At 43.0% G+C, this 26,176-nt stretch overlaps 2 protein-coding genes across 7 annotated transcripts in view, besides 3 other annotated features; both read left to right on the top strand.

Moving 5' to 3' along the window:
• The window catches only part of SULT6B1 (sulfotransferase family 6B member 1), a 28,268-nt gene extending 17,881 nt beyond the window's left edge, over positions 1 to 10,387 (top strand). For both annotated transcript variants that reach the window (NM_001032377.2, NM_001367551.1), the window contains 3 exons: positions 2,981 to 3,075; positions 6,617 to 6,773; positions 10,142 to 10,387. In NM_001032377.2, coding sequence (NP_001027549.1) covers positions 2,981 to 3,075; positions 6,617 to 6,773; positions 10,142 to 10,272 — 383 coding nt within the window. In that variant the 3' untranslated portion in view covers positions 10,273 to 10,387. The remainder of the gene's footprint in view (positions 1 to 2,980; positions 3,076 to 6,616; positions 6,774 to 10,141) is intronic.
• Positions 20,928 to 21,117: a silencer, noted in NCBI's record as "silent region_11354". NCBI's record gives its function as "represses an Ori minimal core promoter by ATAC-STARR-seq in GM12878 lymphoblastoid cells {active_cell/tissue: GM12878}" and the evidence as "EXISTENCE:reporter gene assay evidence [ECO:0000049][PMID:35858748]".
• Positions 21,168 to 21,297: an enhancer, noted in NCBI's record as "active region_15580". NCBI's record gives its function as "activates an Ori minimal core promoter by ATAC-STARR-seq in GM12878 lymphoblastoid cells {active_cell/tissue: GM12878}" and the evidence as "EXISTENCE:reporter gene assay evidence [ECO:0000049][PMID:35858748]".
• Positions 21,227 to 26,176, top strand: part of EIF2AK2 (eukaryotic translation initiation factor 2 alpha kinase 2) — a 57,771-nt gene continuing 52,821 nt past the window's right edge. For all 5 annotated transcript variants that reach the window (XM_047445116.1, XM_011532987.3, NM_001135651.3 and 2 more), the window contains exon 1: positions 21,227 to 21,299. The gene's annotated coding sequence lies outside the window, so the exon portion shown is untranslated. The remainder of the gene's footprint in view (positions 21,300 to 26,176) is intronic.
• Positions 21,318 to 21,437: a silencer, noted in NCBI's record as "silent region_11353". NCBI's record gives its function as "represses an Ori minimal core promoter by ATAC-STARR-seq in GM12878 lymphoblastoid cells {active_cell/tissue: GM12878}" and the evidence as "EXISTENCE:reporter gene assay evidence [ECO:0000049][PMID:35858748]".

Genomic DNA, 26,176 nt, shown 5'->3' with positions numbered 1-26,176 from the left:
CAGGCATGGTGTCTCATGCCTGTAATCTCAGCTACTTGGGAGGCTGATGCAGGAGAATTGTTTGAATCCAGGAGGCAGAGGTTGCAGTGAGCAGATATGGCACCATTGCACTCCAGCCTGGGCAACAAGAGTGAGAAACTCCGTCTCAAAAAAAAAGTTAAATCACTTGCCATTGCTTGTAAGTGGCAGTGACTCTACATCCATGAGTATAGTGGCCAGAGACCAGTAACTGATTCCTTTTTTTAGTGGCTCTTTTGAGTCTGTACGGTGTAATAGATGGGATATTAAAGCCCAATGACCCTGGAGGAGAAGCTGTTGTCAGTTCACTCTAAGAGGGCTACTTTTTAAAAAATGTATTTATTTTTGTTGTATATATTTAAGGTGTACAACAAAATGATGTTTCACCGTATACACAATGAAATGATTAATACAATCAAGCAAATTAACATATCTATCATGTCACACAATTACCTGTTTTGTGTTTAGTAAGAGCACCTAAAATCTATTCTTTTAACGAATATTATATGGTATAAAATCATTAACTGTCATCATTAACTGTCATTCTCATGCTGTACATTAGATCTCAAGATGCTCATAACTGAATAATTCATAACTTCATAACAAGTTTGTACCTTTTGACTTCTGTCTCCCTATTTTCTGCCCTTCCCCATCCCTGTAACCACCATCCTACTCTCTATTATGTATCTGACTTTGTAAAGATTCCACATATAAGTGAAAACATGCTGTATTCTTCTCTTTTTTTTCTTTCTTTCTTTTTTTTTTTTTTTTTTTTTTGAGACAAGATTTCACTCTGTCACCTAGGCTGGAGTGTAGCGGCAAGGCTCACTGCAGCCTTGACCTTCTGGGCTCACGTGGTCCTCAGCCTCCTAAGTAGCTGGGACCACAGGCACTTACCACCATGCGCAGCTGATTTTTTTTCTTTTTGTAGAGATGGGGCCTCACTATATTGCCCAGGCTTCGTATTTTTCTTTTTGTGTCTAGCTTATTTTGGTTAACATAATGTCCTCCCTCCGTGTTGTTGCAAATGATGATGAGAAACTTGTCATCAGTGGGACAATGCATTTTAGGGAATATCTGTTTCCCTATCCATCCTTGGAGAGGTTTGTTTTTCTCATTTAACAGGAAGTCTGAAGGTAGGTAGCTGGTTCCTGGGATCTCTGGCCTGCACCTCTGATATTCCCTTGGCCTCTCTCTCATACTTTTTGCAATACACCCTGAAATTGGCTACTATCCTTCCAATCATCACCTTTAGGTCATGAAAAAGGAGGAACACATCAGCAGTAGCCGAATGTGTTCCTTAGCTCCACACAGCAATAGTTTTGCCAGAAACCTTCCAGCAGACTCTTGTTTGTGTCTCACTGGGCAGAACCATTTCATGTGGCCAATTACAGCTCTGAGGAAGGCAGGATATCAAGAAACAGAATTGTCATGATCAGCTTAGACCCAAATAATCAGGGTTTGGTTAGCAACAAGAAAGAGGATGTATTAGATGTTGGGTAGGCAACTTACGGTATTTGTGACAGAAAATAAAACACATAGAAACTGCCTGGCTCAAAGCAAGGGCTTCATGATAACAATGATCATGATAATAACTATGATATTATTAATAATAGTAATGGCTATTGAGGCCGAGCGGGGTGGCTCACACCTGTAATCCCAGCACTTTGGGTGGCCGAGGCGGGCGGATCACCTGAAGTCAGGAGTTCAAGACCAGCCTGACCAATATGGTGAAACCTCGTCTCTACCAAAAATACAAAAATTAGCCAGGCATGGTGGTGTGTGCCTGTAGTCCCAGCTACTCAGGAGACTGAGACAGAATTGCTTGAAACCGGGAGGCAGAGGTTGCAGTGAGCTGAGATTGCACCACTGCACTCCAGCCGGGGTGACAGAGTGAGACTCCATCTCAAAAAAAAAAAAAAAAAAAAGCTATTGCGTGTTACTATGAAGCAGGCACTGTTTTTAGCATTTGACGTGTGTTAATTCATTTAAACCTCATAACGCCCCATTTTACAGTTGAGGAATCTAAGGTACAAGGAGTTTTAAGAGTTTCTCAAAGTCACAGAGCTAGTAACCAGCACAGCTGACCAGTGTCTGCATCTGCATTGTCCAATGTGGTAGGCCACTAACCATATGTGACAACGGAGCACTTGAAATGGGACTTGAATGGGACTGGTGCCAAGGAACTAAATTTCTCATTTTAAAAAAATGGAATTAATTCAAAATTTTTAAGGGATATACAATTCAGTTAATGGAAAACTTTTAAGTAAGTGTAATAAGTTGCGTATGTGAATATACTTTTTAAACTGTACGTTTTATTAAATCTAAATATACATCAAGTATTTTCAATAAAAATTTAGCATCCAAATTGAGATTTTCAGTATATGTCTCATACTCCATGGCTTTTGAAGATTTAGCATATTAAAATAATGTAATGTTTCACTCAAATTTTTGTTGATTATATGATGGAATAATATTTTTGATAAACTGGGTTAAGTGGAGTAAAACATTAAAATTAATTTCATTTGTTTCTTTTGTTTTTTAAAATTACGTATATGGCTAGCATTACATTTTTATTGAACAACGATGGTCTAGAAAATGTCTTTTTCATCATTTCTTTCTGGCATTGTCTCTGTCGGATTTCATGTGTCATTCACTATTTCTGAATTTTTTTAATCCACCTAAATATTCATGAATGTCTTATAGTTTTTATAAATCATTTTTGTAACTTGCTTAATTTTGTGTTATTTATGAAAAATGTTCCAAAAGGTAAGAAAATAAATAGAAATTTAGACAATGGGACTGATTTATATCAGCTTTTTGGTGGCAGGGATTTATAATAACATAAAGATATCTCGAGCATATACACATATGTATAGTTTATATTTTATAGCATAAATTAATGATCATTTTAACCTCAGTTATTTGACATTTCTTAAAGTCTTCCCCCCTGTGTTTTTAGTTTCTTGGGGAAGGTATTTTGATTTTGCAATCAATTGGAACAAACATCTTGATGGCGACAATGTTAAGTTCATATTATATGAAGACCTGAAAGAGGTGAGATTATTATTGATATTTTAGAGCAAAATTTATTGTAAACTACAACGTAGAGCACTTACTTATAATGTCTGTTTGTATAAACAAATATGGTGTTCAATTTTTAAAAATATTCCAGATATATGGTACAGTGCTGGAAAAGAAAATTCAAACCATGCATACATGCTTAGGTTGTTTATTTAACAGAAATAAAATAACGCTTAGCAACTTATTACTAAAAGTGACTGCTTTATTTTCCCTTTATGATGGATAGTTCAAATTGGTAATAAAAAAAAATAGGTAGGTCTGAGTTGATTTAATTGAACATACACTTGGTTGTGAACTAATTTATCCAGTCATTTTTTAAAAATTGTTTATTGATGTAACAAATATCTAGTGAGTGATTGCTCACCAATTAGGCCCTGGTGTTACATCAGTGAACAGACAAGGCAAAGATCGCTGCCCTGTAGTAACTTACATGCCAGTTGGAGAAGGTGGAAAGAAAGAATGATACATAATAAACACAATAATTTTTAAAATGTATATAGTATGTGAGAAAAAAAGAAACAGCATAGCTGGTGAAGGAAAATTAAAAATGCTGGGGGGCCAGGCACGGGGAAGGATTGGACAAATTCCAGTGTAAAATATGATGTTTAGGCTGGTGTGGTGGTTCATGCCTACAATCCCAACACTTTGAGAGGCTGAGGCAGGGGGATCACTTCAGGCCAGGAGTTCGAGACCACCCTGGGCACATTTTTAAAAATTAGGCATGTACCTGTAGTACCAGCTACTCAGGAAGCTGAGACAGGAGGATCACTTGAGCCTAAGAGGTAGAGGCTGCAGTGAACCATGATTAGGCCACCACACTCCAGCCTGGGTGACAGAGTGAGATCCTGTATCAAAAAAAAAAAAAAAAAAAAAAAAAGAATAGGAAGATTAGGAGAGACCTTACTGAGGGGATGTGATTTGAGCAAAGATCTGAGGGAAGTGGGGGAGTGAGCCAAGTAGGTAACTGGGGAAGAGCATTTCTGGCAGAGGGAATCAACTGGAGCAAAAGCTGGGATAGTCCTGGTGAGATTAAGGGACAGCAGATGTGCCTGGGTCAGTAGGAATAAACCAGGGCTGAACAGCCAATGAGGAAAGAGTCAAGGAGGTAGGATGGAGTATGCCACTCACTCTGGCTTTCACTTTGAGGGAAGTGGGAAGCCATCGTGGGATTTGAGCAGAGGAGTGATTGGAGCAGATGTGTTTTTAACAAGATCATTCTGGCTAGGTGTGAGAATGAACTGGGGCAAAGCAAATGCTGGGAGGGCTGTAAAGAGGGCACTGCAATAGTCCAGGCAAAGGAAGATGGTGGCTCAGGCCAAGAAGGGGCCATGCAGGGATGAGAAGAGGTTGGATTCTGGATATATGTTGAAGGGAAGGCCAACAGGATTTGCTGCTGAATTGGATGGAGGGGAGAGTGGCAAGACAAGGAGAGAAGTCAAGTAAGCCTCCAATATTATTGGCCTGGCCAATAATATTGAGGGCTGAGTTGCCACCGATTGAGTAGGAGATGGCAGCAGGTGAAGAACTGTCGGGGAGATCAGAGGTTTGGTTTTGGACACATTAAATTTGAGATGTTTATTAGTCGTCCTAATTGAGAAGTCAAGTAGGCAGTTGGGCATACAGGCCTTGTAAGTACAGAGAGTTCTGGGCCGTAGATAAAATTTGGGCATCACTGACACATAGCCGTGCTTTAAAGCCATGGAAATATATACGTAGGTATATAGATAGAGAAGATGACCAAGAACTTGGAGCCCACCAATTTAAAGAGTTTGGGGAAAAAAGGAGGAATCAGCAAAGGAGACCAGGAAGCGGGGGCTACTGAGGTAGGAAGGAAAGCAGAATCCTGTGGAGAAAGCATGTTAAAGAGAAGGGAGTATCAAGTGCTCCTTAACTTAATTGGGTTTCTAACACCAGTCTTACATTACATTCTTATAAAAAGAAAGTGTGGTTTAGGCCAGGCATGGTGGCTCACGCCTGTAATCCCAGCACTTTGAGAGGCCGAGGCAGGTGGATCACCTGAGGTCGGGAGTTCGAGACAAGCCTGACCAACACAGTGAAACCCCGTCTCTACTAAAAATACAAAAATTAGCTGGGTGTGGTGGTGCGTGCCTGTAATCCCAACTACTCAGGAGGCTGAGGCAGGAGACTCACTTGAACCCAGGAGGTGGAGGTTGCAGTGAGCTGATATTGTGCCATTGCACTCCAGCGTGGGCCACAGAGCAAGACTCCATCTCAAAAAACAAACAAACGAAAAACCAAAAACAAACAAACAAACAAACAAGCAAATGTATGGTTTAGGCCAGGCACGGCGGCTCACGCCTGTAATCCTAGCACTTTGGGAGGCCAAGGCGGGTGGATCACTTGAGGTCAGGAGTTCGAGACCAGCCTGGCCAACATGGTGAAACCCTGTTTCTACTAAAAATACAAAAATTAGCCAGGCGTGGTGGCACACACCTCTAATCCCAGCTACTCAGGAGGCTGAGGCAGGAGAATTGCTGGAACCCTGGAGGTGGAGGTTGCAGTGAGCCGAGATCATGCCACTGTGCTCCACCCTGGACAACAAGAGAGAAACTCCGTCTCAAAAAAAAAAAGTGAGATTTAATCGACCCTTTCTGTTTATAGGATGCATGTATATAATATGAAAGAACATATTAATTCTAGTTTAGAATAATGTTTCTGAAACTTGTGCACCATAGAATACAAGTGTTGCCCCAGCTGTTAATAAATATTTCTTGAGGTTTGGGAGGAGGTTATTCAAATAGATTTAGGAACTGCTGTATTCTATAGCCTGCTCTCTTGGAGATTCACATTATGCACTGGTCTATTAAAGACTCTGAGAGCAGCCTGGGCAACATGGCGAAACCCTGTCTCTACAAAAATACAAGAATTAGCCAGATGTGGTGGCACACACCTGTTGTCCCAGCTATTCAGAAGGCTGAGGTGTGAGGATTGCTGGAGCCCAGGAAGTCCAGGCTGCAGTGAGCCGTGATTGTGCCCTTGCACCACTCTAGTCTGGGCAGCAGAGAAAGACCCTGTCTAAAAAAAAAAAAAAAATTCTTCAAGTTTTTATGATTCTAAAAATTAGACTTTCTTAATGGAATTAAACATTAGCTATAAATAGAATTCAGAAAAAAAGAGAATTCAAATGAGCACATAGGAATACATTAATTTCTTCAGCTGGTCTAAGTTGGTACTTTTTAATGCAATGATATCATCCTAGATAAAATTATAACCTGTGAATTAATGTTACTGTCATTATTTACATGCTAAAAACTATTATCTGGTAAGTTCAACAAGAGTCATAAATTGAAACTACAAAGTATAATCAATACAGAATATCTTACAGAGATATCTCAATATTTACATAAGAAGATGAAAGTACTCTAAGTTTAAAGTGGGGGATGAGATGAACTAGGGAGTTAGGCTGAATAACTCTGATGACTAAAAAGTCTGTCTCAGCTCAGAGAACAATTTCCATAGGAAGAAATTTATCTTTAAGAAAATTTTTTTACAGAATCTGGCTGCTGGAATAAAACAGATTGCTGAGTTCTTGGGATTCTTTCTAACTGGGGAGCAAATTCAAACTATCTCAGTCCAGAGCACCTTCCAAGCCATGCGTGCGAAGTCTCAGGACACACACGGTGCTGTCGGCCCATTCCTTTTCCGCAAAGGTAAAGTCGCATTGGTTTCTGGGATTGTTATCAGTTAGGGACTGACTTTGCACACAACAGGTAATCCAAATAACTTCATCTTAAGTCAGATAGGGTTTTATTTTTCTCCGCCTCAGTAAGAGGTCTGGACACAGGCTCTCCAGAGCTGTAACTGGCAGCCCCATACCATCTTTTTTGGTTTATTTGTTTGTTTTGAGACGGAGTCTCGCTCTGTTGCCCAGGCTGGAGTGCAGTGGCTCAATCTCAGCTCACTGCAACCTCCGCCTCCTGGGTTCAAGCGATTCTCCTGCCTCAGCCTCCCGAGTAGCTGGGACTAACAGGCGCGTGCCACCACACCCAGTTAATTTTTTTGTATTTTTAGTAAAGGCAGGGTTTTACCATGTTGGCCAGGATGGTCTTGATCTCCTGAACTTGTGATCCGCCCGCCTTGGCCTCCCGAAGTGCTGGGATTACAGGCGTGAGCCACCGCGCCCGGCCGCCCCATACCATCTTTTAGGGTCCTTTCTGCGGTTGAGAGTCCTTTCTGATGATCACCTTCTGAAAACAAGATAGCAGCTGAAGCTCAACTATTATGTTCAAATTCAGATAGGAGATAGTGAGTGGGCAAGGGGCAGAATCGTATTAGCTGAGTGAGCCCCCTTTAAATAACTTTCCTGGAAGCCCCATCAGTGAGTTTTTTTTTTTTTTTTTTTTTTTGAGACAGAATCTTGCTGTGTTGCCCAGGCTGGAATGCAGTGGCACAATCTTGGCTCACTGCAACCTCTGCTTCCTGGGTTCAAGAGATTCTTGTGTGCGCCACCACGCCTGGCTAATTTTTTTGTATTTTTAATAGAGACAGGGTTTTGCCATATTGGCCAGGCTGGTCTCAAACTCCTCTCCCAAAGTGCTGGATTACAGGCGTGAGCCACTGCACCTGGCCAATGACTCCTTTTTTTCCTCTCTCTTATTTATTTTATATATTTTTTTTGAGACAGAGTCTTGCTCTGTCGCCCAGGCTGGAGTGTGGTAGTGCGATCTCGGCTCACGGCAACCTCCGCCTCACAGGTTCAAGTGATTCTCCTGCCTCAGCCTCCTGAGTAGCTGGGATTACAGGTACCCATTACCACACCCAGATAATTATTGTATTTTTAGTAGAGATGGGGTTTCACCATGTTGGCCAGACTGGTCTTGAACTCCTGACCTCAGGTGATCCACCCATTCTCGGCCTCCCAATGTGCTGGGATTACAGGCGTGAGCCACCACACCTGGCCAATGACTTCTTACATTTCATTGGCCACTTTCCTTGCAGTGGTGGCTGGGAAATGTGACTTTTTTAAGCCAGGCATATTACTACACAATTAAAATCAGGGTTTTGTCCATAAGGAAGAGGAAGAAAATGACTATGGGAAAGGCAACTAGCTCTCTCTGACATGGATGATAGTTACTATATTTCATTAAAGTATTCTAAGTTCTTGTGGAAATGTGTGATAATATAGCTTAAGGATTGCCAGTGTTATTTTTCATTGAGTATATAATGAAATAATGAGATGTAGAGGTAGCACATATACCAGCAAGGACAACAACAGCTAACAGCAGGCATCTATCATGTATTAAACATTTTGTTGGGATTAAATTTTATTGTAAAAAACACTGAAGTTCTAAGGCCGGACATGGTGGCTCATGCCTGTAATCCCAGCACTTTGGGAGGCCGAGGCAGGTGGATCATGAGATCAGGAGTTCAAGACCAGCCTGGCGAAGATGGTGAAACCCTGTCTCTACCAAAAATATAAAAATTAGCTCGGGCTGGACGTGGTGGCGGGCGCCTGTAATTCCAGCTACTTGGGAGGCTGAGTCAGAGAACTGCTTGAACCTGGGAGGTGGAGGTTGCAGTGAGCCAAGATTGCACCACTGCACTCCAGCCTGGGTGACAGAGCCAGACTCTGTCTCAAACAAAAACAAAAACAAAAACAAGAAAACAAAAACAAACAAACCAAAAAACCCACTGAAGTTCTTAATTTTCTAAATGTAGGAATCAAAGCTCAGGAATATTAATTTTCCATTGTCACATAGCTAATAAACAGTGGAGTCAGGATGTGAGCCTAGACATGACTCTACTGTACTTTTTCAAATGAAAATCCATTTTTAAAATCTACTGTAAGCGGAACATTGAATGTAAACCTAACTTTGGTTAGATTCTTGACTAACCCCCATTTTTATGGCTTGTTTAATCAGCTTTCAGGAGGTAGGAAATAGAACCTTTCTATCTATTGTTAATTAAGTGTTATTTAGAATAGGACAATTCTAAGGTAAATAAAGTAATAGTTTTAAAAACGTATGATATTCCCTGTAGAAAATTCATAAAGCATAGAAAAATGTGAAAAAGTATTAAAATTATCCAAATTTCTTCCACCAGAGGTAGGTTTAACTTTCTGGCATATTTTCTTCCACCCTTATTCTGTGACGTTTTATATAGCTGATGACATTTGTAAACAGTTTTGTGTTTTCTTTTATTCCCTTAATATATTGTAAGCGTTTCTTCATGTCATTAAACTCTTTATTAACGTACATTTCAACAGCTATGCAATATGGAACTTACAACTTCAACCTAAATGATCAAAAGATCTTTAAGAAAAAAGTAACTTTCTTTACTGGTAACAGCCAGTAAGAAAAAACATCCCAAACTCAGGCAAAATAATACATTTTTGCAAAATTATCAGTATCTGAGGTCTTAACGAAAACTTGCTATAAAATGTTAACTTTCAAAGGGTATTTAAAGTCTTTAAGAGACTTTACAGAGAAAAATATCATTCTCAAAAAGTGGAATTTTAAGTTCTAGGTGTTTGGAGAGGAATAGGGTTAGGGTATCACTGAGGCTGATGGCTCCCCCTAGTGATGTAAAGAAAACATGTCACCTCCCACACCACAGATGGTGGAGTCCCAATGGATATTGTTAATTTTACAACAGAAATCACATTAGGTTTTAAGAGTGTAAAACTTTTGGCTGGGCGCAGTAGCTCACGCCTGTACCTAGCACTTTGGGAGGCCGAGGCTGGCGGATCACCTGAGGTCAGGAGTTCGAGACAAGCCTGGCCAGCATTGCGAAACCCCATCTCTACTAAAAATACATTAGCCGGGTGTGGTGGCGGGCGCCGGTAATCCCAGCTACTCGGTAGGCTAAGGCAGGGAGAATTGCTTGAAGATCGCACCACGGCACTCCAGCCTGGGCAACAGAGCGAGACACCGTCTGAAAAAAACTAAATAAAGAGTGTAAAGCTTTTTTCCATGTGTCCATTTTAACATATCAGAGTGAAATATTGCACTGAAAATGGTAAAATCATGAAGAAATATTCTAACAGATATCTGGGTCTACTGTTTTTTGTGTGTTGTAGGTGAAGTTGGTGATTGGAAAAATTTGTTCAGTGAAATTCAGAACCAGGAAATGGATGAAAAATTCAAAGAGTGCTTAGCAGGCACCTCCCTCGGAGCAAAGTTGAAGTATGAATCATATTGCCAGGGTTGATTCCAGTCAATTCAGCAGGCCTAGATTTATTTTCCTTAATAATAATTAAGTGTAAATAATTAAATGATAATTCAATCAAATAATCAAATAATAATTAAACAATATTGAAATCTAAATAATACAATACAAAATAATAATACAATTTAATAATAATGATAACATCGGACATTTTTGAGCACAAATATAAGTTTGTTCACTTTTTCAAGAAAGGATATTTCAGCAGTCCCAAAGGGACACTATTATTAATACATCACACTGGAGTTTTAACTTATTTTGTGCTCTAGGTTCACGTAAGAGGGTAAGGAGATACTATCAGAGACATACCTAAAGCTGTGTTTGGCCATAGATGACACAGGCCTCCAAATGGTGCACAATTTTCTGTACTTTGCTCGTAATATAACTCCTTTCTTACTATGGATAAAAGCACTTGGGGTGGCTATCTCAGACAATGTTGGGGGAGAGTTAATTCCAACTCTGCAATAAATTCCATTCTAATTTGGTTCAAGAAAAATGCATTGCTAATCTGCTCCATGTATGCCATTGCAGTAGGCCTTAGGAAGGCCCCTTCTCAAGGGACCTTATATTTCTACTTAATATGACCTTTAATTCAAAGCTAAAGGTAAGAGATTGTGTTATTTTACCGTAAAGACTTTTTCTTTTTCTTTTTCTTTTTTTTTGAGACAAAGTCTCACTCTGTCACCCAGGCTGGGGTGCAGTGGCGCAATCTCGGCTCACTGCAACCTCCACCTCCCAGGTTCAAGTGATTATCCTGCCTCGGCCTCCTGAGTAGCTGGGTTTACAGGCACGCACCACCACGCCTGGCTAATTTTTGTATTTTTAGTAGAGGCAGGGTTTCTCCCATGTTGGCCAGGATGGTCTTGACCTCCTGACCTCAGGTGATCCACTTGCCTTGGCCTCCCAAAGTGTTGGGATTATAGGCATGAGCCACGACGCCCGGCCCATCAAGACTTTTTCTACCACAGAGCCTCAAGTAGGCATGTGGAACTAACAAGACAGAAAATGTTCTAAAAAGAAAGAATCCTGGCTGGGCGAGGTGGCTCATGCCTGTATCCCAGCACTTTGGGAGGCTGAGGCGGGCAGATCACTTGACATCAGGAGTTCAAGACCAGCCTGGCAAATATGGGGAAATCCCATCTCTACTAAAAATACAAAAACTAGCTGGATGTGGTGGTGTGCACCTGTAATCCCAGCTACTGGGGAGACTGAGACAGGAGAATCGTTTAAACTCAGGAGGCAGAGGTTGCAGTGAGCTGAGATCATGCCACTGCACTCCAGCCTGGGCAACAGAGCAAGACTTTGTCAAAAAAAAAAAGGGAGGAAGGAAGGAGGGGAGAAAAAAGAAAGAAAGAAAGAGAGAGAGAGAGGAAGGAAGGAAGGGAGGGAGGGAGGGAGGAAGGAAGGGAGGGAGGGAGGGAGGAAGGAAGGGAGGGAGGAAGGGAGAAAGAGAGAGAAAGAGGGAAAGAGAGAGAGGAAGGAAGGAAGGAAGGAGAGAAAATGCTAAATAAAAGGTTAATATCTAGAGTATATAAAGAACAACTAATATCAATAGATGAAATAAAATATAGCCTAATAGGAAAAAAAAAATGTAGACAGGTGCTGTGGCTCATGCCTGTAATCTCAGTGCTTTGGGAGGCTGAGGAGGGAGAATCACTTAAGGCCAGGAGTTCAAGACCAGCTGGAGCAACATAGGAAGACCTCATCTCTACCAAAAAAAAAAAAAAAAAAAATTAACCAGGCATGGCGGTGTGTGCCCATAGTACCAGCTACTCAGGAGACTGAGGCAGGAGGATTGCATGTGCCCAGGAGGTTGAGGCTGCAGTGAGCCATGATTGTATCACTGCACTCTAGCCTGGGCAACAAAGACCTTGTCTCTTAAAAAAAAGTGTAAAGGATATAGACAGGTAATTTATAGAAGAGGACATCCAAATGGTAAATAAATAGATAATGAGAAAAATGTACTAATTAGGAAAATTGAACAACAGTCAGAGGAATACTGGGATCTCTGAGAAGGAGTAAACAAGTGAGTTGATCCCTACACCTTCCTGAACGTGCTATCTATAGGCAGTTTCCAAGCTGCAGTACAGGGAAAAGGAACATCATACAAAAGTCTCATAAAATTGGAGTTGGATATTGGGAGTCAGGCAGGCTGAGGAGGCTAGATTTTCAGAGCACATTGCTGGGGAAAAGAGCACTGTATGTTAAAAATTTAACATAGCAAGAACCTCAGAGATCTGCAGAGGGAATCTTTCTAATCTTTAACTGAGTGCAGATATGTGTATGCATGGAATAAAACTTTACAAAGACAGTGTAAAGTCCCATCAAGACAAGGAAAGGATTACTGGAAAGCAGTGAGCCAAAGAATTTTCCTGGACCTCATTCAGAGGTGGAAATAGTTTGTGTTCCCATCAGTCAAAGTGGAGAGACTAATACCCAGGGCATTGGGTAGATTTCCCAGAATGTTCAGACCTTAGAAGTAGGGCTAAATTAGCCCTAGCCCTGCTGTAACAAAAGCAAGCCTAGAATGCATTGAAATGAACTCAAGTAACTTAATTGCTTACCAGTTTGAAAAAAAAAAATGCTAGATAAAATGTCCAACATTTAAAAAATGAATTTAAAAAAATAAAGCCCCAACACTATGTCTGCCATCCAATAAATATTTTTCAAGCATAAAAAGAAATAGGAAAACATGACCCATATCCAGGAGTAAAATCAATTAATAGAAACAGACAAATGGCTGAAATGGTGGAATTAGCAGATAAATATCTTAAAAGAGCTATTATACATTTTATAAATATGCTCAAATGGGTAAAAAAAAAATGATGAGAAGAGAAATGGATAATGTAAACAGACCCAAATGGAAGTTTTAGAGATGAAAAACACAATATCTGAAATAAAAAATACACTGGATGAATAAACAGTAGATTAGATGGAGAGGAAGAAAACACCAGGGAACTTGAAGGCATAGCAATAGAAACTATTCTATTCTAAATGAAGACAGGAAAAAAAAAAGACTACAGAAAAACATAAACGGAGCTTCAGTGACTTATGGGACAATATCAAGCAAATTTGCATGTAATTGGAATATCAGGAAAAGGAAAGAGGTACAGAAAAAAATTGAAAAATTGATGACTGAAATTGTTCAAATTCAAATAACTATAAATCTGCAGATTCAAGAAGTTCAACAAACCCCAAGCTGAATAAACATAATGAAATGGCACCAAAACACATCCTAATGCAATTGCTGAACACCAGTGACAAAGAGAATTCTTTGAGGCAGCTAAAGAAAAAAGATGTTGGCCGGGCACGGTGGCTCACGCCTGTAATCCCAGCACTTTGGGAGGCCGAGGCGGGCGGATCACGAGGTCAGGAGATCGAGACCATCCCGGCTAAAACGGTGAAACCCCGTCTCTACTAAAAATACAAAAAATTAGCCGGGCGTAGTGGCGGGCGCCTGTAGTCCCAGCTACTTGGGAGGCTGAGGCAGGGGAATGGCGTGAACCCGGGAGGCGGAGCTTGCAGTGAGCCGAGATCCCGCCACCGCACTCCAGCCTGGGCAACAGAGCGAGACTCCGTCTCAAAAAAAAAAAAAAAAAAAAAAAAAAGAAAAAAGATGTTACATATGAAGAAACACATAAGAAATACAACAGACTTCTCATCAGAAACTATGCAAGATAGAAGGCAATAGAGTAATATCTTTGAAAGACTGAAAGAAAATCTCGGTCCACCTAGAATTTGATATCAGTCAAAAATATCTTTCAGAAAAGAAGATAAATACTTTTTCTGGCTAGGTGCGGTGGCTTACACCTGTAATCCCAGCACTTTGGGCGGCTGAGGAGGGCGAATCACAAGGTCAGGAGATCGAGACCATCCTAGCTAACACGGTGAAACCCCGTCTCTACTGAAAATACAAAAAAAAATTTAGCCAGGCATTGTGGTGGGCACCTGTAGTCCCAGCTACTCGGGAGGCTGAGGCAGGAGAATAGCGTGAACCTGGGAGGCAGAGCTTGCAGTGAGCCGAGATCGTGCCACTGTACTCCAGCCTGGGCGACAGAGCGAGACTCCGTCTCAAAAAAAAACAGATAAATACTTTTTCTGTCAAATAAAGCCTGAAAAAAATAATTTCCAACAGATATGTACTATAGAAATACTAGAAGTTCTTTAGATGAAGGAAAATGATGCCAGATGGAAATTTGGGTCTACACAGAGGAATGAAGAGCACCAAAAATGGCGAATGTGTGGGTATATATAAACTATATTTCCCCATGGCCAGGTGTGGTGGCTCATGCCTGTAATCCCAGCACTCTGGGAGGCCAAGGCAGGTGGATCACCTGAGATCAGGAGTTTGAGACCAGGCTGACTACCATGGTGAAACCCCATCTCTACTAAAAATACAAAAATTAGCCAGGTGTGGTGGTGGGCACCTGTAATCCCAGCTACTCAGGAGGCTGAGGCAAGAGAATTGCTTGAGCCCAGGAGGCAGAGTTTGCAATGGGCTGAGATTGCCACGCCAGTGCACTCCACACTCCAGCCTGGGTAACAGAGTGAAACTCTATCTAAAAAATCTGTCTTTATAATCTCTTTAAAAGATAATTATCTATCTATTCAAAGCAAAAGTAATAACAATGTATTTTGGGGCTTATATATAGAAGTAAATCTATGACAACAATGAGACAAAGGATAAGAGAGAAGAAATAGAAGTATACTCTTGTACATTTTGGAAAGAAATTTGGTAGTTATTTGTGCATATACTTCACAATCCAGCAATTACATTCCTGGGCGTATATCTAAGAGAAACTCTTCCTTATTTGTATAAGGCAACATGAAGGAAAATCTTCATTGCAGCATTATTTGTAAATAGTGAGAAATTTAAAAACAAAACTGAGAAGAATGGATAAGAAAATTTTGAAATATTAATAGAAATAAATATTCAGCAGTTAAATGAATTAGAGCTATGTATATTAAGTAAATATCTTTTTAAATTTAAATTTTATTTATTATGATTATTTTTGATCACCAGGCTGACCATGGTAAAGTAAATAACTCTTAAAACACATAAGAATTACTTAATCAATATGAGGTTTCTTTCTGGGGTGGTGAAATGTTTTGAAACTAGACAGTGGTGATGGTTGCAAAATATTGTGAATGTACTAAGTCCCCCTGAATCATATGCTTTAAAAGGGTTAGGCTGGCTGTGGTGGCTCACGCCTGTAATCCCAGCACTTTGGGAGGCTGAGGTGAGCGGATCACCTGAGGTCAGGAGTTCGAGACCAGCCTGCCCAATATGGTGAAACCCCGTCTCTACTAAAAATACGAAAAATTAGCCAGGTGTGGTGGTGGGCGCCTGTAATCCCAGCTACTCGGGAGGCTGAGGCAGGAGAATCGCTTGAATCCAGGAAGTGGAGGTTGGAGTGAGCCGAGATCGTGCCACCGCACTCCAGCCTGGGTGACAAGAGCGAAACTCTGTCTCAAAAAGAAAAAAAAAAAAAGGTTAAAATGGTGAATTTTATGTTATGTGTATTTCACCACTTTCAGAAAAAAAAATGAATACAAAAAGCAAGTTTAAAACATATGAAGATTTTATTTTTAAAAATGAATGCATACAGAGGTAATACCCTTTAAGTCATGAATGTGAATAACTTAAATGAGTGATTATCTCTGCTGAGAAGAGGAAGAGGAATAGCATCAGGGAGAGGAACACTGGGGCCTTCATCTGTCTCCCAGTATTCATTCAACAAGGATTTGTTAAGCAGCATTTGACATAGTGGATTACGCTTTCCTCCCAGAAAAAATTTTTTTTCACTTGGCTTGTAGGAGTCCATGTCTCTTGTTTTCCCTATTAGCTGCTGCCTCCCAGTGTCCTTGCTAGTTCCACTCCTCCTCCACGGCCAGTCATTATTCTAGAACAAGGATCAGCAAACATTTTTTGTGAAGGGTCAGATAGTAAATATTTTCAATTTTACTGGTCATGCAGTTTCTGTCACAGTGACTCAACACAACTCATCTTAGTGTCAAAGCAGCCATAGACAATATATAGATGAATGAATGTGGTTGTGCACTAATAAAGCATTATTTACAAAAACAGGCAGCAGCCCAGTTTTGGCCCAGATCTATTCTAGACAATGAAATAATTAGCGAATAAAACAGTCAAAAATCCCTGTCCATGTGACTTTACATGTCAGAGGAAGGAGAAAACAAAGACAATAAATCAATAAGTTGTATTGTATAATAGAAGGCTGTAAGTGCCATGGAGGGGAAATAGAATAGAATGAGGGGGATAGGGAGTGACAACAGGGTGACAGTAGTGATTGGAACTTAAATAGTGTAGTCAGGGGGCTTCGTGAGCAAGTGACGTTTCAACAAGATCTGTGAGTTTTGCAGATATCTGAAGGATGAGGTTCCAGGCAAAAGGAAGAGCAAGTACAGAGGCACTGAGACAGTAGTATACCTGGCATTCTTGAAAAACCACAAGGAGGACAATGTAACTAGAGGAGAATGAAAGAGGGGCAGAGAAACAAGAGACGAGGTTAAAGTGGCAACCAGGGTGCAGGAAATATAGTGTCTTGTAAGCCCTTGATGATTCTGGGCTTGACTTTTTTCTTTCTTTCTTTCTTTCTTTCTTTCTTTCTTTCTTTCTTTCTTTCTTTCTTTCTTTCTTTCTTTTCTTTCTCTTTCTTTCTTTTTTTTTTTTTTTTTTTTTGAGACAGTCTCTCTCTGTCGCCCAGGCTGGAGTGCAGTGGCATGATCTCAGCTCACTGCAACCTATGCCTCCCAGGTTCAAGCAATTCTCCTGCCTCAGCCTCTGGAGTAGCTGGAACTATAGGCATGCACCACCATGCCCAGCTAATTTTTGTATTTTCAGTAGAGACAAGGTTTTGCCATGTTGGCTAGGCTGGTCTCGAACTCCTGGCGTCCAGTGATCCACCCACCTCGGCCTCCCAAAGTGGTGGAATTACAGCCGTGAGCCACCACGCCCGGCCTTCTTTCTGTATTCTGCATGATGAAAGGGACAAGGCAGATCTCTGGGGCCTCTTTTATAAGAGCACCAGTTCCACCACCCAAAGGCCACACCTCCTAATACCATCACATTGGTGATTCGCTTTTAACTTATGAGTTTTAGGGAGGACACAAACATTCAGACCATAGCGATGATTTTATAATAATGTGCATGTGGGGACTATTGACAAGAAGAGTTTATAAGTAAGCAAGACAAATTACTAAAGCAGAAACATCTGAGGAAAAGAGCCACAAGAGATATGGTACAACATAAATATGGACCACTCTACAATTTCCAAAAGCAGGAATAACAGTTATTATTTTTCCTCTGCTAGTAAAAAGAGAATTAAGAATAATTGATACATACGATTCTTCTATCTGTGTCTGATTCGTTGCTTTAGCATTACACATTTTGATCTAAAAGTCACTGTATTAAAAGAGATAGACTTATGGGATTGACTATAGGTCAATAACCATACTGATATTCACAAAGAGTTACGTAGTAAGGCCTGAGAAGCCCATGTGGATAAACTCACACATATCCTCCATTCCTGCTGTCACAGCCTCTTTATTTGTTGAAACAAGCACAGGGATAGCTGGGGAAAAGGCTAACAGAAGTCTTCTTGCTCAACTGCTTCTCAAAAGCCTCTTTAGAAGTGGTTGCCTTTGGTGAACATTCAAAAGGGAGCCCAATATGCACACTCTGCCCATTCGAAGTGGTTCAAGCACATCATTTCCCTAGACCTCATCATCAGCCCTCTGATATCATTCCTTCCAACTCTCTGAACATCAGCTGCATTGCCAGCCACTGGCTCTGTATAAGCCACTGAAGGAGGGGACTTTGGATCTTCTTGGGGTCCATGGTTAGGAAGTAAGTGACTAGGTTGCATAAGATGAATCTACTCCAATATTCCTGACTCCCTAAGTATTTTTGATTTCTTCATCTGCATTACTTGGCATTACATTTACATTTAGTGTGAGCTGCCACTGAGCTGATATTATAGTAAACCAACTGGGCAAACTGGCTTAGCGCTCCCACTGCTAGAGGCAGTACATCAACTTTCTTTCTTTTTTTTTTTTTTTTCTTGCTCTGTTGCCAGGCTGGAGTGCAGTGGCACGATCTTGGCTCATTGCAACCCCGACTCCCTGGTTCAAGCGATTCTCCTGCCTCAGCCTCCCAAGTAGCTGGGATTACAGGCACATGCCACCACGCCCAGCTAATTTTTGTATTTTTAGTAGAGACGTGGTTTCACCATGTTGGCCAGGATGGTCTCAATCTCCTGACCTCATGATCCGCCCACCTCGGCCTCCCAAAGTGCTGGGATTACAAGCATGAGCCACCGCGCTCAGCCTCAACTTTCAGCTTTCTTCACGTCATCTTTAGACTCATTGCCATGTCTATTTCTTGCTTTCTGTTGCTCTTTTGTTGTGTAAAGCATCACCCCTCCATCAGATCTTGTCCATATCCTCTTGGGGCGCATTAGCATCTGATTCTAGTTCTAGGAGTGAAGGCACAGGTAGAGATAGGATATTTGGAGAATCAGCACCTCCTTGCAGGGTGACTGTTTCATGCTTTTTAATGTAGGCTGTACCAGCCTTATCAGACAATGGTGGGAAGCCTGTGGAGACACAGCAGAATTTAGGAGGGCAGTGGCACTTGGATTCATTCAAATCCACCCAAATTCCCAGGGCTTCTTTCTTTCACAATCAATGCCCTCAGTGTTCACAGAAGAGACCTGATGAGGCTGCAAATGAAAATTTTTGTTGTAATTCTAGGCTGGGCGCGGTGGATCACGCCTGTAATCTCAGTACTTTGGAAGGCCGAGGTGGGGGAATCACTTGAGGTTAGGAGTTCCAAACCAGGCTGGCCAATATGGTGAAACCCCTTCTCTACTAAAAATACAAAAATTAGCTAGGTGCGGTGGCACACGCCTGTAATCCCAGTTACTTGGCAGGCTGAGGCAGGGAAATTGCTTGAGCCCGGGAGCCAGAGGTTGTAGTGAGCCAAGATTGTGCCACTGCACTCCAGCCTCGGCAACACAGCAAGACTCTGTCTCAAAACAATTATATTGTAATTCTGGTGCCTGCAGCACCAAGCTTTGCAGCTGAGAGCCCAGACAGTAGGGAATTGGGCTCCTCAGGGAGTCCAATATGCTCACACTTTACCCATTCCAAGAGGTTCACCCATATCATATCATTCCCCTGGACCTCATCACCAACCCTCTGATATCATTCCTTCCAAATCTTTCCCCAGCAGAGAAGGCAGATTTTTACATCACCCCTGAGGCTCCCTGAAATAGGAGGGTTTTCTGGTACAGTCATAAAAGCGTGTGTCCTCTGATCATGCTTAAGCTTGCCATTTTTCATTCTTTAAGCTCTCTTGGGCAGTTCAGGGGCTCAAAAAGTCAGAAAAACTTGTCCTTGCTACTGCCATTGCTGCTGCCACAGCCATCCCACACCCACAAAGCTGACAAATGGACACACAGCACTGTCAGAGTTTTCTTGTCACCTGGAAATGCCACAAAAAGATGGCTCTGCCTCATGTCTACCTTCTAAACCTCCCGCCAGTGCTTTACATATAGGGGACTTAAGCTATGCCCAGGACCAGAGCTACAAGGAAAGTGTAGATTTTAGTTGTTGATACCCTGCAATGTGGGGTTGTTGGGGGATGGAGAAGGGAGGCTGGAGAGGATGCCTGCCTAGGTGTAATTTTTTTTTTTTTTTTTTGAATTGGAGTCCCACTCTGTCACCCAGGCTGGAGTGTAGTGGCATGATCTCAGCTCACTACAATCTCTGCCTCCCAGGTTCAAGCAATTCTCCCTGCCTCAGCCTCTGGAGTAGCTGGGATTACAGGTGCCTGCCACCACGCCCAGCTAATTTTTGTGTTTTTTAGTAGAGACGGGGTTTTGCCATGTTGGCCAGGCTGGTCCTGAACTCCTGACCTCAGGTGATCCGCCCGTCTCAGCCTCCCAAATTTCTGGGATTACAGGCATGAGCCACCGCGCCGGCCTAGGCATAATATTTAATGTATATTTGAGGTCTGTCTTTGGACCACCTTCCTCTCTTATCCCAGCTAAGATACTGAGAGTACAAACTCCTGGTTATAATTCTAACTCCGCTGCTTACTACCTGTGTTAATCCAAATTCTCTGTGCCTCAATACTCATTAGTCACTGTGCCAATGAACTCTGGAACTCTGTGTGACTCTGGGAGTGTGTCGCAGTCCATCAGGTGAGTAGAATTTCTATAAATCGAGGACTACTGGTGTTGGACTATGGTAGGAAGCTCCCTGGGGTACTGTAGGAAGCAGGTGTCTCTATTTAGCAGCAGGACTGGCCCACAGGTGCTTTTACAGCGGCTGGCAAGTGTCTGCTCATGAATGAATGGATGGGTGGGAGCGGAGTGAAGGAGATTACGCCCCCAGGCCTCTGATCCCCAGGCTTGTAAAGGTGAGGGGGCCGCGGTGTGGCAAGAGGGAAAGAGTGCTTTGGTGTTTACAGGCCCCGACTTGAACTGAATCCTGGCTTTGCCACTTACGAGCGGCAGGACCCCTGGGTGAGTTCATTTACTCAGTTTCCTCTATTGTAGAATGGAGCTGGTAAGATCCATCTTCCCAACCCCACCCCAAATATTTGTGTTGAGAGTAAGTGGAACCCTTGATTCGAGAACCTAGTGCGGCCAGCGGACTAGGCCAGCGGAGAACCCTAGGAGCCCCGGGGGCGGGGGATGGGGGTGCAGGGTCCTGGCCGTGCAGGGGCAGCACGTGGGTGCCAAGCCCGCCTGCCGGTGCCAAGCCCGCCCGCCGGTGCCAAGCCCGCCCGCCAGTGCCTCTCGCGCGCACTCTGGATCCAGCGCCAATTTACCCCAATCCCGTAGCAGACGAGGGCTTGTGCGAGAGGGGGCCGGGCGGCTGCAGGGAAGGCGGAGTCCAAGGGGAAAACGAAACTGAGAACCAGCTCTCCCGAAGCCGCGGGTCTCCGGCCGGCGGCGGCGGCGGCGGCGGCGGCGGCGCAGGTGAGCAGGGCAGGGGGCAGCCGAGGGAGCGCGGGGAGCGGGGGCCGGGGGGCCACGTACGAGGGGCTGCAGGCCCAGCCGGGGCGGGACTCGCCAATCCTGCGTCCCCAGCTCAGGACGCGGACGCTGATCCGAAGCCCCTGGCCCCGGCTGGGTCAGCACTGGGAGAGCAGGCCCAGGTCCGCAGCCCGGGTGTGGGGCCCTCCCCAAATCCAGGGAAAGGATCGTGGAGCGGGGTGGGGACTGAAAGCCATTTCCTTCCCGTGAAGAATTTTTATCAGTGCAAGTAACAAATATTTCCCAGGCAGCAGTTGTGGGGCGGGGTCTAGTGGAAGACGAATAGGCCTAGTGGCTTGACACATGGAAAATACGGAGGCCTGAAATACTCATAGACTGGCTGAACAATCTTTGGCTAAAAATCTCTTCCGTGGAGAGTTGCAGTAGTTTCCCAATTGCCTGGCCGCAGTTCCTGTTCCCACTCCGTATCCTCACCCCTGAACCTCCACCCCCTACCTCTTCTCCACACCTCAGCATCTGGAATGTTCCTTTAAGTAAGAACCAGACTCTCCCCTGCTCCGACCTTCCCCGTAGCTTTCCTGTCTCATCAGAATCCTATAAACATTTATTAAGGCTCACAGGCAAGGCCCCTCGCACCCCCTACTCCGGCCACGCTGGCTTCCTTGCTGTTCCTGGTGCACAGCCAAGCATCCTCCAGCCTCTAGGCCTTTGCACTGCTTGTTTCTTCTTTCTGGAAAGCTTCTTCCCCAGATAACTGCATGGGGAAATCCCTCCCTTATCCTGCACTGCTTCCCATGCCAGCTTATCAGAGCAGCCTTCCTCAAACAACCTGCCTATACAAGAAACCCCGCTCTGCCCTTGCTGTTCCCCCTTCCACTACTTCGGTTGTCAACATAGTAGTTATCACCTGGTGACATTTTCTTTCTTTTCTTTTCTTTTTTTTTTTTTTTGAGACAGATTCTCACTCTGTCGCCAGGCTGGAATGCAGTGGCACGATCTGGGCTCACTGCAACCTCTGCCTCTCAGGTTCAAGCGATTTTCCTTCCTCAGCCTCCCAGGTAGCTGGGACTACAGGTGCCCGCCAGCACAGCCAACTAATTTTTTTATTTTTAGTAGAGACAGGGTTTCACCGTGTTGGCCAGGCTGTATGTAGTCTGCTGGAAAGGAAGTGGAGGCATAGCCAAAATAATTTCTGGGCATTAGTAAGATGGACAAATATTATTTTTTAGTGATTATGATGGAGGTTTCTTCCAGATGAGTGAATAAGATGTAGAATCTGCTCCCCAAAGAGCTCACTAATTAGTTTAAAAAGCAGTCAGGGCTGTGTTGAAGGTTGGGCAAGGTGGAGTGGCAAGCCCATACTAGCTGACCCTCCAGCATCAAAGAAGGCTGTGTTGATCCTGATAGATGAGTGGATATTGGTGGGTACAGAGAGAATGCAGATATTGCACTATAAATGTAGAGAAAAGCAGGTGACAAGTCCTGGATGGGGTATCTGGAGATATTTTGGTACTCACTCATTCATTATTGAGCCTGGTCCCTTACCTGTAGTAATTCATGCTCTATTTTGGAAAATAGTTAAATAAGCAATTTTAATAAAGGGGATGAGCACTGTGGAAGAGCCTGTGAAGGAGTGTCTGGGATTTTGAGCTGAAATCTGTAGGAAGTAGAAATTGACCAGGCCAAGACAGCAGAAGGAATAGAGTCAAGGGCATTTTAGGAGGGAGCAGGTTGGACAGAGGCAGTTGGGAGTTCAGGAGAGAGTCCATGGTGGAAGCGTGCTTTTGAGAACCATCATTGTGTCCGTGGAATTTAAAGCCACAAACCTGGAGGTGATCACCAGGGGAGTGAGTCCAAGTAGAAAAGAGCAAGTCTAAGGACCGGGCCCAGTGATGCTAGAATATCTAGAAAAGAGGAAGTTAGAACCATAGAAAAGGTTAAAAAAAAAAAAATAGAAGAAAAGAAGTTGAAGATGAACCAGGAAAGGAGACAGAAAAGGAGTAGCTTGTCAGAACAGAAGAAAACCAGGCCCAGGTGCCATGGCTCATGCCTGTAATCGCAGCACTTTGGGAGGCCAAGGTGGGTGGATCACCTGAGGTCAGGAGTTTGAGACCAGCCTGGCCAACATGGGGAAACCCCGTCTCTACTAAAAATATAAAAAATTAGCCGGGCGTGGTGGTGGGCGCCTGTAATCCCAGCTACTCGGAATGCTGAGGCAGGAGAATCGCTTGAACCCGGGAGGCAGAGGTTGCAGCGAGCCGAGATGCCACCATCACACTCCAGCCTGGGCAACAAGAGCGAAACTCTGTCTCAAAAGAAGAAAACTAGGAGAGTGGGTGTCTTAAAAGTCCAAGCTAAGACAGGGAGAGGAGGGCGAAGAGGATGCGCAACCCCATCAAATGCTGGTTGTAAGTCAAGTAGAGAAGGACTAAGAACTGACTACTGGATTTAGTGATAGGGAAGCCATTGGTAACCTCGACAAAAACAATTTCAGTGGCTTGTGGAGACTGCATGATTGAATTGATGTTTTTTTGTTTGTTTGTTTTGTTTTTGTTTTTTTTTTTGAGACGGAGTTTCGCTCTTGTTGCCCAGGCTGGAGTGCAATGGCACGATCTCAGCTCACCGCAACCTCCACCTCCTGGGTTCAAGCGATTCTCCTTCCTCAGCATCCCGAGTAGCTGGGATTACAGGCATGTGCCACCACCCCGGCTAATTTTGTATTTTTAGTAGAGATGGGGTTTCTCCATGTTGGTCAGGCTGGTCTTGAAGTCCCGACCTCAGGTGATCTGCCCGCCTTGGCCTCCCAAAGTGCTGGGATTACAGGTGTGAGCCACCGCGCCTGGCCACTGAATTGATGTTTTAAAAAGATCATGATGTGGCTGTATTAAAAAAGAAAACAGATAATAACAAGTGATGGTGAGGATGTGGAGAAATTAGAACCCTCGTGCATTGCTGGTGGAAATGTAACATGGGTGTAACCACTGTGGAAAACAATTTGGTGATTCATCACAAAGTTAAACAGAATTATCATGTGATTCAATTCCACTTATATACCACAAATATTCAGAAGTAGGGACTTAAACAGATATATGTATACCAGTGTTCACAGCAGCATGATTCAAGATGGCCAAAAGGTTGAAATAACCAGTGTCCATTCATAAATGAATGCATGAACAAAATATGGTATATATACACAACGGAATATTATTCAGCCTTAAAAAGGAAAGGAATTCTGACATATGCTACAACATAGATGAACCTTGAAGACATTTTGCTAAGTGAAATAACCAGACACAAAAGGACAAATACTGTTTGATTCCACTTATATGAGGTACCTAGAACAGGCAAATTTACAGAGACAGAAGAGAGATTAGAAAATATAAAAAATTAACCAGGCATGCCCACGCCTATGGTCCCAGCTACTCGGGAGGCTGAGGTGGGAGGATCGCTTGAGCCCAGAGTTCAAGGCTGCAGTAAGCTGTGATCACACCACTGCACTCCAGCCTGGGCAACAGAGCGAGACCCTGTCTCAAAAAAAAAAAAAAAAAAAAAGATTAGCAGAGACTGAAAGGACTGGGAAATGGGGAGTTACTGTTTAATGGGTACACACTTTCTGTTTGGAAAGATTAAGAGTTGTGGATGTGGATGTGGTGGCGGCTACACAACATTGTGAATGTACTTAAAGGCAGGGAATTAATACATTGAAAAATAGTACATTTCATGTTATGTGTATTTTATCACAATTTTAAAACATAAAAAAAAAAATCACAATGGTTGCAGGGTAGAGAAGGAATTGAAGTAGCTGTCGGAACTGGTTCTGAGATTCTCACAGCAATCCAGGAATGAGGTGGTGTTGGCTTGAACTAGGATGGTAAGTGTAGACATCTTTGAGAAGTAGAAAGATTTTGGTGACAGGACTTAGTTATAGATTAGAAGGCAGGGAGAGGAAATGTCAAGGATGCCTCCCAGATTGATGGCTTTCAGACTTGGATAGATGGTGGACTCATTTCCTGTGAAAGGAAACTTCAAACCAGCTTGGGAGAAGATCATACATGCAGTACAGGATATTTTGAGTTTAAAGTTCGTTCAAGATGTTCAAGTGGAGAATTTGGATAGAGAGATCTGAAACTCAGAGCGGTTCATAAGGAATATGTAAACTTTAGAGGTAATGGCGTATAGATGATCACTGAAATCATGGACGTGAAAGAAATCACCTTAAGGAGAAAGTATAGAGTGAAGAGAAGAGGATTGTTGGGCCATGCCAGCATTTAGAGCTACAAAGATTAAGGTGTGTTAAAAAGAGTGGCCCGGCCAGGCGTGGTGGCCCACACCTGTAATCCCAGCACTTTGGGAGGCTGAGGCTGGTGGATCACTGGAGTTCAGGAGTTGGAGACCAGCCTGGCCAACACCGGGAAACCTCAAAAATACAAAAATTAGCTGGGCGTGGTGGTGGGCACCTGTAGTCCCATAGTCCCAGCTACTTGAGAGGCTGTGGCAGGAAAATTGCTTGAACCTGGGAGGCAGATGCTGCAGTGAGCTGAGATCATGTTACTGCACTCCAGCCTGGGCAACAGAGTGAGGCCCTGTCTCAAAAACAAAAAACAGAAAGAGTGGCCCTGGAAGAAAGAAGATCAAAAGAGCTTTCCAAGAAGAATTAAGAGGTTTACAGGATCTGATTTCTGCCTTTATGGATTTACCGATTCTGGAAGTTTCATATAAATGGGAATCATACAATATGTGTGAAATTTTATGTCTGGATTTTTCATTTTGCATAATGTTTTTGAGGTTTATCCATGTTTTTGTTGTTGTGGTTGTTGTTTTTTGAGATGGAGTCTTCGCTCTGTCGCGCAGGCTGGAGT

Source organism: Homo sapiens, chromosome 2 (assembly GCF_000001405.40).
Source record: "Homo sapiens chromosome 2, GRCh38.p14 Primary Assembly".
Classification (NCBI taxonomy): domain Eukaryota; kingdom Metazoa; phylum Chordata; class Mammalia; order Primates; family Hominidae; genus Homo; species Homo sapiens.
This window is presented reverse-complemented; position numbering and strand designations above follow the sequence as displayed.